The sequence below is a fragment of the Homo sapiens genome, chromosome 5 (genome assembly GCF_000001405.40).
Source record: "Homo sapiens chromosome 5, GRCh38.p14 Primary Assembly".
Lineage (NCBI taxonomy): Eukaryota > Metazoa > Chordata > Mammalia > Primates > Hominidae > Homo > Homo sapiens.
Window position 1 is genome coordinate 76,974,593 of NC_000005.10, and position 13,870 is coordinate 76,988,462.

The window sequence follows — 13,870 nt, forward strand, 5'->3', positions numbered from 1 at the left end:
TGGAAAGAAATGCCTATTGTAGGGTAGTCATATGAAATTATATCTGAATACACTTTTATCTGTGCAGTGAAGTATTTCAGAAAACAGAAACACCTTTGTATCTTCAAATAAGTAGGTTGAATGGCATCAGTTCTAATGGGTCATTTGTAATGATTATCATCCATTTTTCTCTTTGCATTTTAAAGTTTTTTTCTTCATTTGTTAAGACAAACTACACAAAGAGAAAAGAAACAGAGATACGAGAGAGGAAATATGGGTGAGAGAAAGAAGCTTGATTAGAGGATTTGAAAACATAATGAAATAGAGGTCTCTAAATTGGATTCTGGGCTTTGCTCTTGATAACAACCATGTACTCAATCCCTCTGCAGCTGAAAAACTGAAAACAGGAAGTGTTTTTGCTTTAGGGGAAAGATTTCATGTCAACATTAAGACATACAGTTGGATGAGCTAGAAATAACCATGCTCTTTGTAACTAGAAGAATTATTAGATATTGGGGGTTCCTAGTATGAAAATGCAATTCCCCTGTTGACTCTCCTTTCCAGGTTTTTAAAGTTTAAGAAAACATGTCTTGTGTTATTAACGGTTCAGATGTAATCAAGCCAGCCAAAGACACCAGCACAGCAGGTAGCTACTGTGATTTCAGGGATAGCACTTAAGTGAAAATATTGCATTTTACTGAAATGCCCACCCTTACAACCCTTTTTCTTCTGTTATCAAAATGTATATTTAATTAAGCAAGTAATTCATTAGTAACATATTACTTTAAAGATTCAAACCATATAGTGGTAACTAGTTAATGAACTAACTTATAAATCAGTCATTAATTTGACCATATATTATCGCTAATCATTATGACATGACAAGAATTGGCAGGAAAGTCTCAAATACAGGGGAGGGTAGTGAGTGCAATTAAGAGTATTAGGTCCTGGCCAGGCATGGTGGCTCATACCTGTAATCCCAACACTTTGGGAGGCTGAGGTGGGTGGATTACTTAAGGCCAGGAGTTCGAGACCAGCCTGTCCAACATGGTGAAACCCCATCTCTACTAAAAATACAAAAAATTAGCTGGATGTGGTTGTGCGTGCCTGTAATCCCAGCCACTCTGGAGGCTGAAGCAGGAGAATTGCTTGAACCCGGGAGGCAGAGGTTGCAGTCAGCCGAGATCACACCACTGCACTCCAGCCTGGGCAACAGAGCGAGACTCTGTCTCAAAAAAAAAAAAAAAAAAAAAAATATATATATATATATATATACACGCATATATATATACACACACATATACATGCATATATACACACGTGTATATATGTGTGTATATATATGTGTATATATATGTGTGTGTGTATATATATATATATATGCGTGTATATATATATATATGTTGGTGGTCCATTGGCAAAGCTAAGAAAATGGTAGATCAACTCTGCCTTCTGCTCAGCAAAAGCCAATCCCTTCACCCATCACATCCAGGCTTATTAGCAGAGGCCTCTGTGATCTTATATATAATAAGATGCTGGCCCCTACCCACCCATCCTCACCCTCTCTTTTTACATCAAAGAGATCTCTCTAATAAATTGGGTAATAAGCAGGAAAAGAAAGAGTATGAGATGCTGAAAAGCAAACAGACCCAGGTAAATAAATACTCCATTAAAGCTACCTGGACAACTAACAAGGTATTGATGAAGCCACTAGCTGGCTGAAAGTTTGTAGAGGTAAGCAAAGTTTGCTATAGACTTGGGAGTGTTATCAAAGACAAACTGTATTTCCTTAGTTTTGTTTAGGACCAGCCCAGAATGCAATCTATCCTGTGTGGAATGGATGGGATGAGAGATGGATGGGCCCAGCCTTAGAAGCAAGATCTAGACCTATAAGTATAGTCAACAGAATGGAGAGGGAAGAACCCAGACTTCAGGAACCCAATGTAGAGGTGAGTTCTTATTCAACCACTAACCAGCTGTATGTCCTTGAGCAAGTTCCTGCACTGCTCTGAGCAGCTTCGTTACGTGTCAGGTATAACAGGAGCACCTACGTTTTAATGCGATGGCTTGCATGAAGTACCACGCACCAGTCAAGGCACATGGTAGACACTATAACTATGAGTGTTCCTTTCTCAGAAAACTTATCAGTCAAGTCTTTGGTAATATAATTTTATCTTAAATGCTTCTAAAATGTTTTCTATTTCAAGGAAATAGAGCTGGCTCCCTTAATTGATGAGAATTTATTTGGCAAAGAGAAAATAGCTTGTTTTTATAACATTCAATTACTATTTTTTTTCTTGAAATGGCTTTACCTCTACAGTATCTACTCATCGATTAATTAAAATAGGGTGGTCCATTGGCAAAGCTAAGAAGATGGTAGATCAACTCTGCCATCTGCTCAGCAAAAGCCAATCCCTTCACCCATCACATCCAGGCTTATTAGCAGAGGCCTCTATGATCCTTCCCTATCCTGGCCTTTCCAATGAAAAACAACCAGTGCTGACATTGAGTGCCCCTTAGGGGACACTGACACGCCAACTGCCAGGTAAAGGTAGGAAGGGATGAGGCTGGTGTAACGTTCTGTAAGGCTGCAGGTTTAAAAACAAAACAAAACAAACTCAAAAACCTCTAAGATTGATAATAAGAAAATGTTTGGCTTTATTCTTGAATCATAGTAAAAGCTAATATTTATTGAATACGAAGTACAGGCATACCTTGTTTTATTGCACTTCACTTTATTGGGCTGTGCGGATATTATGTTTTCTACAAGTAGAAGGTTTGTGGCAACTTTGGGTCGAGCAAGTCTATTGGTGCCATTTTTCCAACAACATGTGTTCACTTCATGTGTCTGTGTCACATTTTGGTAATTCTCATAATATTTCAAGCTTTTTCATTATTATCATAGCTGTTATGGTGATCTGTGATCAGATGTTACTATTGTAATTGTTGTTACTATTGTAATTGTTTTAGGGTGCCACAAACTGTGCCCATAGAAGACAGTGAACTTATGGATAAATGTGTGTTTTGACTTCTCCGCCTACTGGCTGTTTGTTCCCCTGTCTCCCTTTCTCTTGCCTCGGGCCTCCTTATTCTCTAAGACACAAGAATATTAAAATTAGGCCAATTTATAATTCTACAATGACCTCTAAGTGTTCAGTGAAAGGAAGAGTCCCAGGTTTTCTCACTTTAAGTCAAATGCTAGAAATGATTAAGCTTAGTGAAGAAGGCATGTTGAAAGCCAAGAGAGGCTAAAAGCTAAGCGTCTTATTCCAAACAGTTAGCCAAGTTGTGAACGCCAAGGAAAAGTTACTGAAGGAAATTAAAAGTGCTACTCCAGTGAATACACAAATGATAAGAAAACAAAACAGCCTTATTGCTGATGTGGAGAAAGTTTGAGTGTTCTGGATACATAAACAGCCACAGCGTTCCTTTAAGCCAAAACCTAATCCAGAGCAAGGCCCTAATATTCTCTCATTCTATGAAGGCTGAGAGAGGTGAGGGAACCTGCCGAAGAAAAGTTGGAAGCTAGCAGAGGTTGCTTCATGAGGTTTAAGGAAAGAAGCCATCTCCATTAAAAAAAAGGTGCAAGATGAAGCAGCAAGTGCTGATGTAGAAGCTGCAGCAAGATCATTGATGAAGGTGGCTACTCCAAACAACTGATTTTCAATGTAGACAAAAAAGCCTTCTATTGGAAGGAGATGCCATCTAGGACTTTTATCGCTAAAGAGAAGTCAATACCTGGTTTCAAAGCTTCAAAGGACAGAATGACTCGTTAGGGGCTAATGCAGCTGGTAACTTTAAGAAGCCAAGCTCATGTACCATTCTGAAAATCCTAGGGCCCTTAAGAAGTATGCTGAGTCTACTCTGTCTGGGCTCTAAAGGAACAACAAAGCCTGGATGATAGCACATCTGTTTACAGCATGGTTTACTGGATATTTGAACCTGACTGTTGAGACTTACTGCTGAGAAAAATAATCTTTCAAAATATTACTGCTCATTGACAATGCACCTGGTCATCCAAGAGCTCTGAGGGAAATGTACAAAAAGATTAATGTTGTTTTCATGCCTGCTAACATAACATCCATTCTGCAGCCCATGGACAATCTCACAATAAAACTTTAAGGGATGAGGAGTTACTTCTTTTGAATGAGCAAAGAAAGCGGTTTCTTGAGATGGAATCTACTGCTAGTGAAGATGCTATGAATATTGTTGAAATAACAACAAATTTAGAATGGTACATAAACTTAGATGGTACATAAACTTAGTTGATAAAGCAGCAGCAGAGTTTGATAAAATTAACTCTAATTTGGAGGAAGTTCTACTATAGGTAAAATGCTATCAAACAGCATTGCATGCTACAGAGAAATGCTTTGTAAAAAGAAGAGTCAATTAATGTGGCAAACTCCATTGATGTCTTATTTTAGGAAATTGCCACAGCTGTTCCAGCTTTCAGTAACCACTGCCCTTATCAGTCAACAGCCCATCAACATCAAACACTCACCACCAGCAAAAAGATTATGACTCGCTGAAGGATGGGATGACCTTTAGCATTTTTTAGCAATAAAGTATTTTTCTTTTCTTTCTTTTTCTTGTCTCTTCTTTTCTTTTCCTTTTTTTCGAGATGGGGTCTTTCTCTGTTGCCCAGGCTGGAGTGTAGTGTGCAATCACAGCTCACTGCAACCTTGACCTCCCCAGGCTCAGGTGGTCCTGCCACCTCAAGCAATCTGTCTCAGCCTCCCAAAGGGCTACGTTTATAGGTATGAGCCACTGTGCCCGGCCAACAATAAAGTTTTTTTCTTTGACAGAGTTTCGCTTTGTCTCCAGGCTGGAGTGCAGTGGTGTGTTCTCGGCTCATTGCAACCTCCGCCTCCTGGGTTCAAGCAATTCTCCTGCCTCAGCCTCCCGAGTAGCTGGGATTACAGGCACGTGCCACCGCACCCAGCTAGTTTTTGTATTTTTAGTAGAGACGGTGTTTCACCATGTTGGCCAGGATGGTCTTGATCTCCTGACCTCATGATCCGCCTGTCTCAGCCTCCCAAAGTGCTGGGATTACAGGCGTGAGACACCGTGCCCAACCAATACAGTATTTTAAATTAAGGTATGTACATTGTTTTAGACATAATGCTATTGCACACTTAGTATACTACATTATACTGTAAACATCACTTCTATATGTACTAGGAAACCAAAAAATTGGTATGACTCACCTTATTGCAATATCCACCTTTTTATGATGGTCTGGAACCAAAACTGTAATATCTTCAAGGTATGCCTGTATATTCTTTGCACTGTTCTACAGACTTCCTATGCGTTGAAGCATTGAAACCTATCTTCACTTTGCAGATAGGGAAACTGAAGCATGGAGAAGTAAATCACACAGTTAGAAAGCAGTGGGGCCGGCCGGGCGCGGTGGCTCACGCCTGTAATGCCAGCACTTTGGGAGGCCGAGGCGGGCGGATCACGAGGTCAGGAGATCGAGACCATCCTGGCTAACACGGTGAAACCCCGTCTCTACTAAAAATACAAAAAAAAAATTAGCCGGGCGTGGTGGCGGGCGCCTGTAGTCCCAGCTACTCGGGAGGCTGAGGCAGGAGAATGGCGTGAACCCGGGAGGCGGAGCTTGCAGTGAGCCGAGATCGCGCCACTGCACTCCAGCCTGGGCGACAGAGCGAGACTCCGTCTCAAAAAAAAAAAAAAAAAAAAAAAGAAAGCAGTGGGGCCAGGATTCAGACTTCAGTGATCTGACATCAAAGCTTGCTGGCTTTATTGCTGCACTACTCTGCTAGAGACTGTGGCTGGAATAGAGTGTGAAGCACCGCTCTCAGGGAGGGTTTCCACCAGCATGGCAGTGACACTGAAAGCATTCTGGTCCTTATTTCTTTGTCGAAACACACCATTCAAAGTTATTTTAGAGTATTTGTCTGAAGATTTTGTAACAAATCAATTCCATTTCCAACTCTCAGAATGGCCTAATGGGACAGCTCATTGAATATTTGGTCAACTTGGCGATGCCATAGAACGAAGACATTTAGTCAAACTCATCTGGATGTTGCTGTGAAGACAATTTTCAGATGAGATTAACATTTAAATCAGTAGATTTTGAGTAAAGCAAATTACTTCCGTAAGTTGGGTGGGCCTCAACCAATCAGCTGAAGGCCTTATATGGAAAAAGACGGAGTTTCCCCAAGGGAAGGAGAACATCTGATTGGTTCTGTTTCTCTGGAGAACCTTCCTAATGTGCCAAATACTATTAATTTTTGCGGGAAGGGCTCCGAAAAATTTTTCCTTGTACTCAGCTATAATGTGTTATAAGCAAAGCTGTTGCAAAATCTTTGTTTACCAATGAATGGTCTGAGGTCATCATGTCCTTTTTTTCTTTCTCTGCACAGTCCTGCATGACCCCTTGTTCACTATCAAACTGACTTCCACATACAGGAGCACGAAAGGCACAGGAATGGATGCCAATAGACTCATTAGCACCTCCTCAATATCACCTCAGTCCACTTAACTGAGAAACAGCTGTTGAAGATGGCGAGATCCAAAATAAAACCCAGTTCTCAACCAAATAAAATATCTCTAAAAAGAGGAGAAAATGGTTGTGAGATGTCATTTCCCATTTTTAGGAGAAACTATAAAAGGAACAGCCAACAGTTACACAGAAATTTAAGATTGTGCCTACGTTAATTCCAAGCAATAGTCTTTCTATTTATAACCCATGCTAATTAAATGTTATCACTTACCATTCATTATTAACAGAGGTTTTCTGGCTATTGTCAAATCTCAGGTGAAAGCCTTTTAGCTTCTTTCATTCCTTCTCAATGAAACCAATTTGGCAGTCTCTTTCAAAGCAATGTCTTCAATTGGAAAGTACTACCTCATACATGAATGAACAACGTGTCTCCTCTTGTCATTGATAAGATGAACTTAGAATGAGCTTGAAATGCTATGGTGATGGTGCTCTATTCTGGACTGCAGAAAAATCTGGAATGCCGCTGTGTAACAAGAGCAGAACATTATGGGGGAAGAAAACCCAGAAGACTAATTTTTAAAATAGCTAAATTTAAGAAATGAACAAAAGCATCTTAAAATATAAAGCTCAATAGATCTCAAGAGTAGACTGGACGTAGCTAATGAGAAAATGAGTTCTGGAAGAAAAGTTGGAAGATATGGAGGATAGAATGACGTGCACCAGCATGCATCTGAGTGGGCCAGTGGTTTAGGATATTAGGCATTTTGTTTCTCCTCACTATAAAGATAGGTATTCTCAGATACTTTGCAGGTTTTAAAAATAGTTCTCTTGAAAATTACTACCTTAAAAGTGACATTCATAAAGATACTCTGAAGAACTGATCACTTTTATTGGATGAATGCAGATGAACAAAATTATTAATTCAAGGTAACCCCTTATAGGCATGACCTATCTGCTAATTTCTCTTGCAATCATTTTGTTTTGTTTCTTATTCTTACATAATCTCATAAAGCACCTCAATTCCTCATTTCACTTCTTCATGTATTGAATGCCTTTCTATTTAATAAATAATATGATCTAGCTGGGTACAGTGGCTCACACCTGTAATCCCAGTGCTTTGGGAGGCCAAAGCAGGAGGATCACTTGAGCCTAGGAGTTTGAGATCAGCCTGGACTGGGAGATGGGAGACCCCATCTCTACAAAAATTTAAAATTTAGCCAGCATGGTGGTGTGCACCTGTGGTCCCAGTTACTCTGGAGGCTGAGGTAGGAGGATTGCTTGAGCCCAGGAGGTTGAGGCTGTAGTGGGCTGTGATTGTGCCACTGCACTCCAGCCTGGATGACAGAGTGAGACCCTGTCTCAAAAAAAATTATATGAGCTAACATGTATTCAGTGTTTATTATTATACTAAGCACTATAAAACGGTTTACATTTATTATCTCATTTAATCTTACAACAATCAAAAGTGGAAGGTAGTGTTATTTTCTTCATTTTACAATGAAGGAATGGAGAACGAAATAGGTTAAGATACTTGCCCAAGGTCATACAGCTACTCATTCATAAAGGAAAACAATTCACATTTGTTTGTCAAGGTTAACCCATTGCAGGAGTGACTCATCTCATTCCTAATTATAAGCCACTCTTTTATATGACCTATTTTATACTCCTTCCTCTCCTCTTCCATTACAACTCATCCTATTCCACCCTCCCTTCTCCAAATAAGAAATGTTCATAGTCTGGGAAAAAAATATCTAGAAAAGTCAATGGCTTTGCTTTTATTATTTTATTTTATTTTATTTTATTTTATTTTATTTTATTTTAGACAGAGTCTCGCTCTGTCGCCCAGGCTGGAGTGCAGTGGCGTGATCTTGGCTCACTGCAAGCTCCGCCTCCTGGATTCACACCATTCTCCTGCCTCAGCCTCGTGAGTAGCTGGGACTACAGGCGACCGCCACCATGCCCGGCTAATTTTTTGTATTTTTTTAAAGTAGAGACGGGGTTTCACTGTGTTAGCCAGGATGGTCTCGATCTCCTGACCTCATGATCCGCCTGCCTCAGCCTCCCAAAGTATTATTTTCTTTTTAGTAGAAGTATCTGGATAATTTCCCTCATTTTTCATTTCGTTATGATTATAGAGACCTGGCTAATGGTATTTCACATGTCTACTAGGACTTAAGGAAAATCCTTCAGACTTGGTGTTCTAGGATATCAAGACACTTTCTTTTTTTGAGATGGAGTTTCACTCTTTTTGCCCAGGCTGGAGTGCCGTGGTGCAATCTCAGCTCACTGCAACCTCTGCCTCCCAGATTCAAGTGATTCTCATGCCTCAGCCCCCCAGGTAGCTGGGATTACAGGGGTGTGCCCCATGCCCAGCTAATTTTGTATTTTTAGTAGAGATGGGGTTTCACCATGTTTGCCAGGCTGGCCTTGAACTCCTGACCTCAGGTGATCCATCCCCCTCGGCCTCCCAAAGTGCTGGAATTACAGGCATGAGCCACCGCGCCTGGCCTCAAGACAATTTCATAATGATCCTTAGGTCAAGGTTTAGATGAGAAATTCATTGCTATGGTGTACAGAGGCAACAACATCCTCCTACATCCTGGCTAGAGCAGCAAAGCTTGCTACTGTTTGGCAAAGTTTCTAGGTGGTATTTTTAGAACAATATCCTCCTCTGTTTGGTGCTGCTGGAATATGGCTCTTGATTCACAGATGGGTGTCTCTGGGGTGACTGGGGAGCTAAATTTTCAAGTCTTCCCCTCACTGGATAAACAGTGACTCTTTCCAATTTTTGTTAAAATCTTTTTTTCTTTTTTTTTTTATTTATTTTTTATTTTTTTTTTTAATTGATCATTCTTGGGTGTTTCTCGCAGAGGGGGATTTGGCAGGGTCATAGGACAATAGTGGAGGGAAGGTCAGCAGATAAACAAGTGAACAAAGGTCTCTGGTTTTCCTAGGCAGAGTGTGTGTGTCCCTGGGTACTTGAGATTAGGGAGTGGTGATGACTCTTAACGAGCATGCTGCCTTCAAGCATCTGTTTAACAAAGCACATCTTGCACCGCCCTTAATCCATTTAACCCTGAGTGGACACAGCACATCTTTCAGAGAGCACAGGGTTGGGGGTAAGGTCATAGATCAACAGGATCCCAAGGCAGAAGAATTTTTCTTAGTACAGAACAAAATGAAAAGTCTCCCATGTCTACTTCTTTCTACACAGACACAGCAACCATCCGATTTCTCAATCTTTTCCCCACCTTTCCCCCTTTTCTATTCCACAAAACCGCCATTGTCATCATGGCCCGTTCTCAATGAGCTGTTGGGTACACCTCCCAGACGGGGTGGTGGCCGGGCAGAGGGGCTCCTCACTTCCCAGTAGGGGCGGCCGGGCAGAGGCGCCCCTCACCTCCCGGACCGGGCGGCTGGCCGGGCAGGGGGCTGACCCCCTACCTCCCTCCCGGACAAGGCGTCTCGCCTGGCGGGGGGGCTGTCCCCCCCACCTCCCTCCCGGACGGGGCGGCTGGCCGGGCGGGGGGCTGACCCCCCCACCTCCCTCCCGGACGGGGCGGCTGGCCGGGCGGGGGGGCTGACCCCCCACCTCCCTCCCGGACGGGGCGGCTGGCCGGGCAGAGGGGCTCCTCACTTCCCAGTAGGGGCGGCCGGGCAGAGGCGCCCCTCACCTCCCGAACAGGGCGGCTGGCTGGGCGGGGGGCTGACCCCCCCCACCTCCCTCCCAGACGGGGCGGCTCGCCGGGCGGGGGGCTGACCCCCCCACCTCCCTCCCGGACGGGGCGGCTTGCCTGGCGGGGGGCTGACCCCCCCACCCCCCTCCCGGATGGGGCGGCTGGCCGGGCGGGGGGCTGACCCCCCCACCTCCCTCCCGGACGGGGCGGCTGGCCGGGTGGGGTGCTGACTCCCCCACCTCCCTCCCGGACGGGGCGGCTGGCCGGGCAGAGGGGCTCCTCACTTCCCAGTAGGGGCGGCTGGGCAGAGGCGCCCCTCACCTCCCGGACGGGGTGGCTGGCCGGGTGGGGGGCTGACCCCCCACCTCCCTCCCGGACGGGGCGGCTGGCCTGGCGGGGGCTGACCCCCACCTCCCTTCCGGACGGGGTGGCTGCCGGGCGGAGACGCTCCTCACTTCTCAGATGGGGCAGTTGCCAGGTGGAGGGTCTCCTCACTTCTCAGACGGGGCGGCCGGGCAGAGACGCTCCTCACCTCCCAGACGGGGTCGCGGCCGGGCCGAGGCGCTCCTCACATCCCAGACGGGGCGGCGGGGCAGAGGCGCTCCCCACATCTCAGACGATGGGCGGCCGGGCAGAGATGCTCCTCACTTCCTAGATGGGATGGCGGCCGGGCAGAGACGCTCCTCACTTTCCAGACTGGGCAGCCAGGCAGAGGGGCTCCTCACATCCCAGACGATGCGCGGCCAGGCAGAGACGCTCCTCACTTCCCAGACGGGGTAGCCGCCGGGCAGAGGCTGCAATCTCGGCACTTTGGGGGGCCAAGGCAGGCGGCTGGGAGGTGGGGGTTGTAGCCGAGATCACGCCACTGCACTCCAGCCTGGGCACCATTGAGCACTGAGTTAACGAGACTCCGTCTGCAATCCCGGCACCTCGGGAGGCCGAGGCTGGCGGATCACTCGCGGTTAGGAGCTGGAGACCAGCCCGGCCAACACAGCGAAACCCCGTCTCCACCAAAAAAATACGAAAACCCGTCAGGCGTGGCGGCGCGCGCCTGCAATCGCAGGCTCTGGGCAGGCTGAGGCAGGAGAATCAGGCAGGGAGGTTGCAGTGAGCCGAGATGGCAGCAGCACAGTCCAGCTTCGGCTCGGCATGAGAGGGAGACCGTGGAAAGAGAGGGAGAGGGAGAGGGAGACCGTGGAAAGAGAGGGAGAGGGAGAGGAGGGAGAGGGAGAGGGAGAGGGAGAGGGACTTTTGTTAAAATCTTAACAGGCCACCAAGGCTGATGAAAAAAGCTTCAGAAGAGAAACTTCTTGTAGGCACCTACAGGTGGTGTGTCATTTAGTGGGAAGTATATATTTGGCAATGCTTTTCTTTTTTCTTTTTGGAAACAGAGTCTTGCTCTGTCACCCAGGCTGGGGTGCAGTGGCACAATCTCGGCTCACTGCAAACTCTGCCTCCTGGGCTCAAGTGATTCTCCCACCTCAGCTTCCCAAGTAGCTGGGACTACAGGCATGTGCCACCACACCCAGCTAATTTTTGTATTTTTAGTAGAGACAGGGTTTCGCTATGTTGCCCAGGCTGGTCTCGATCTCCTGGACTCAAGTGATCCACCCGCCTCAGCCTCCCAAAGTGCTGGGATTACAAGCATGAGCCACCATGCCTGGCCATTTTTGGCAATATTTCTTAAACCTCAGTGTGGCTACGAATCACCTGGGGATCCTGTGAAAGCTCAGATTCTGATTCTGGGTAGGGTCCAAGATTCAGTATTTCTTTTCTTTTATTTTTATTTTCCTGTGCTAATTCACCTGCAAAGCATTAGATATATATTAATTACACTATTGTTGAAATTCTGAAGCTGTCAATCCATGTTAGTGTGCTAGAGTCTTTTTCACATTTCTAAAATTTTTGTGGGTACATAGTAGGTGTCTATATTTGTGGGGAGAGTCTGCATTTCTGACAAGCTCCTGGGTGATGCTGACACTACTGGTCTCTCAACCACAAGGATATACAGACCTGTATGGAGGAAGAATATTGCCTTTCAGTGGAGCTAGCCATGGCTGGTTTATTTGTTTTTGCTTTTCTTGAAGGCTTGTGCTAAATAATAAAATCTACCTCACTTTCTTTCCACCTTGTCACTTGTGTTTGGAGCAACACAATGGAAGGAGCAAGCTGTAACTTGTGAACAGGAGACACATTAATGAAATAAAGCTCCAGAGAGAGAACTCAAGCTGGCCTGTTGCCGTGACGCTGGGCTAATGACACTGAGCTGGAAGAGTGATTCCCCTGGAGTCCTTATCAAGTGACACCATCTTAATTACCCAGTGAAAAGACAGCCCGTTTCCAGCAAACAATTACTTCCTGATCGATACCCTTGTCTTGTTAAGTATGCTTCCTGACCATTTATAGCCAAACATTTGATGTACTTTTCCTGAGAAGAAAAATCACCTTCTTAGCTATCTCTACTCAGCAGAAGCCCCTGCCCACATCACACACAAAACCATCTACATTTAGATATTCTGAATGGTTGGAAACTCCTATTTATTATCCTTCGGTGACTTTTATCTTTAGATGAAGAACTGAGAAGAGCACACAAGTTCCTCTCAGCAACATGATTTATGCTTGAGGCTAAGGCCTCAACTTGGGGAAGGGAAGAAGGTTGTTTCAAGCCTGTGGCCTCCTGTCACTCCCCACCCCTGGAAGGCCCTTCACTTTTGGGTGTGGCCTAGAGGCCTCATGGACAGCAGTCCCTTCTGACACCCAGTGAGATATCATCTGGGAGGGCTGCGCAGCCCTCAGTTCCCCTCATGGCTCTCTCTTTCACTTCCCTCCATGACACCACCTCATCGAGTTGAAGATGTTATTGATGAGTGCAGTGGGTGTATAGTGTCCTCCCAAAATTCATGTCCACCCAGAAATTCAGAATGCAACCTTATCTGGAAATAGAATCTTTGCAAATGTGATTAGTTAAGATGAAATCATACTGAGTTAGGATGAACCTGAAATCCAATCACTGGTGTCCTTGTAAGAGGAAAGGTCACAAAGAGACAGAGGAGATACACAGAGGAGCCCATGTAATGATGGGTACGGAGACTGACGTGGCACAACTATAAGCCAAGGAATGCCAGGGAAGGCCAGCTAGCAGAAGCTAGGGAAAAACACAGAGGGATTCTCCCCTGGAGCCTTTGGAGGGAGTGTGGCCCTGCTGACACCTTGGTTCTGGACTTCTGGCCCCCAGAACTGTGAGAAAATAAATTTCTTTTGCTTGAAGCCACCCAGTTTGTGGTGCTTTGTTGCGGCAGCCCTGGAAAACTAACACAATGAGTAAGGGAAAGTAAAGGAATTAAAAGGTGTGCAGGAAAGAATTTAAAGCTATGTGAAAATCATGACTTTCCCTCTACTGTCTAAGGAAAAAGAAATCCCTAAGAATGAATAGGGCCTACTCATTTGCTCACCTTACTCAAGGCTCAAGTCACAGCTTTCTGTGGGAGCATCTTTTTCAAACCTCCACAGTTGAAATCTCCATCCAGTAGGGGATTTTATTCATTTAGGACTCTTGGGAAATCTCGCTCAATTCCATTAGGGATTGGTCTCACCCTAGGGCTGCTTTCCCTTCCCCCACAATTTGTGATAATAGTCCCCAGCTGTGTTTTTCTCTAATTCTGAATTATCCAGCCCAGAATCACAGTACAGGGGAAGAACCTCCAGCAGGATGTCCAGAACAAGCAATGGCGACTTAGGTTTATTC

At 45.0% G+C, this 13,870-nt stretch overlaps 1 protein-coding gene across 1 annotated transcript in view; it reads left to right on the forward strand.

The window, feature by feature from the left end:
• Positions 1-6,567, forward strand: part of CRHBP (corticotropin releasing hormone binding protein) — a 28,115-nt gene extending 21,548 nt beyond the window's left edge. The window contains exons 7-8 of the transcript XR_948235.4: positions 1,773-1,928; positions 6,369-6,567. The gene's annotated coding sequence lies outside the window, so the exon portion shown is untranslated. The remainder of the gene's footprint in view (positions 1-1,772; positions 1,929-6,368) is intronic.
• Positions 6,568-13,870: the final 7,303 nt, after the last annotated feature.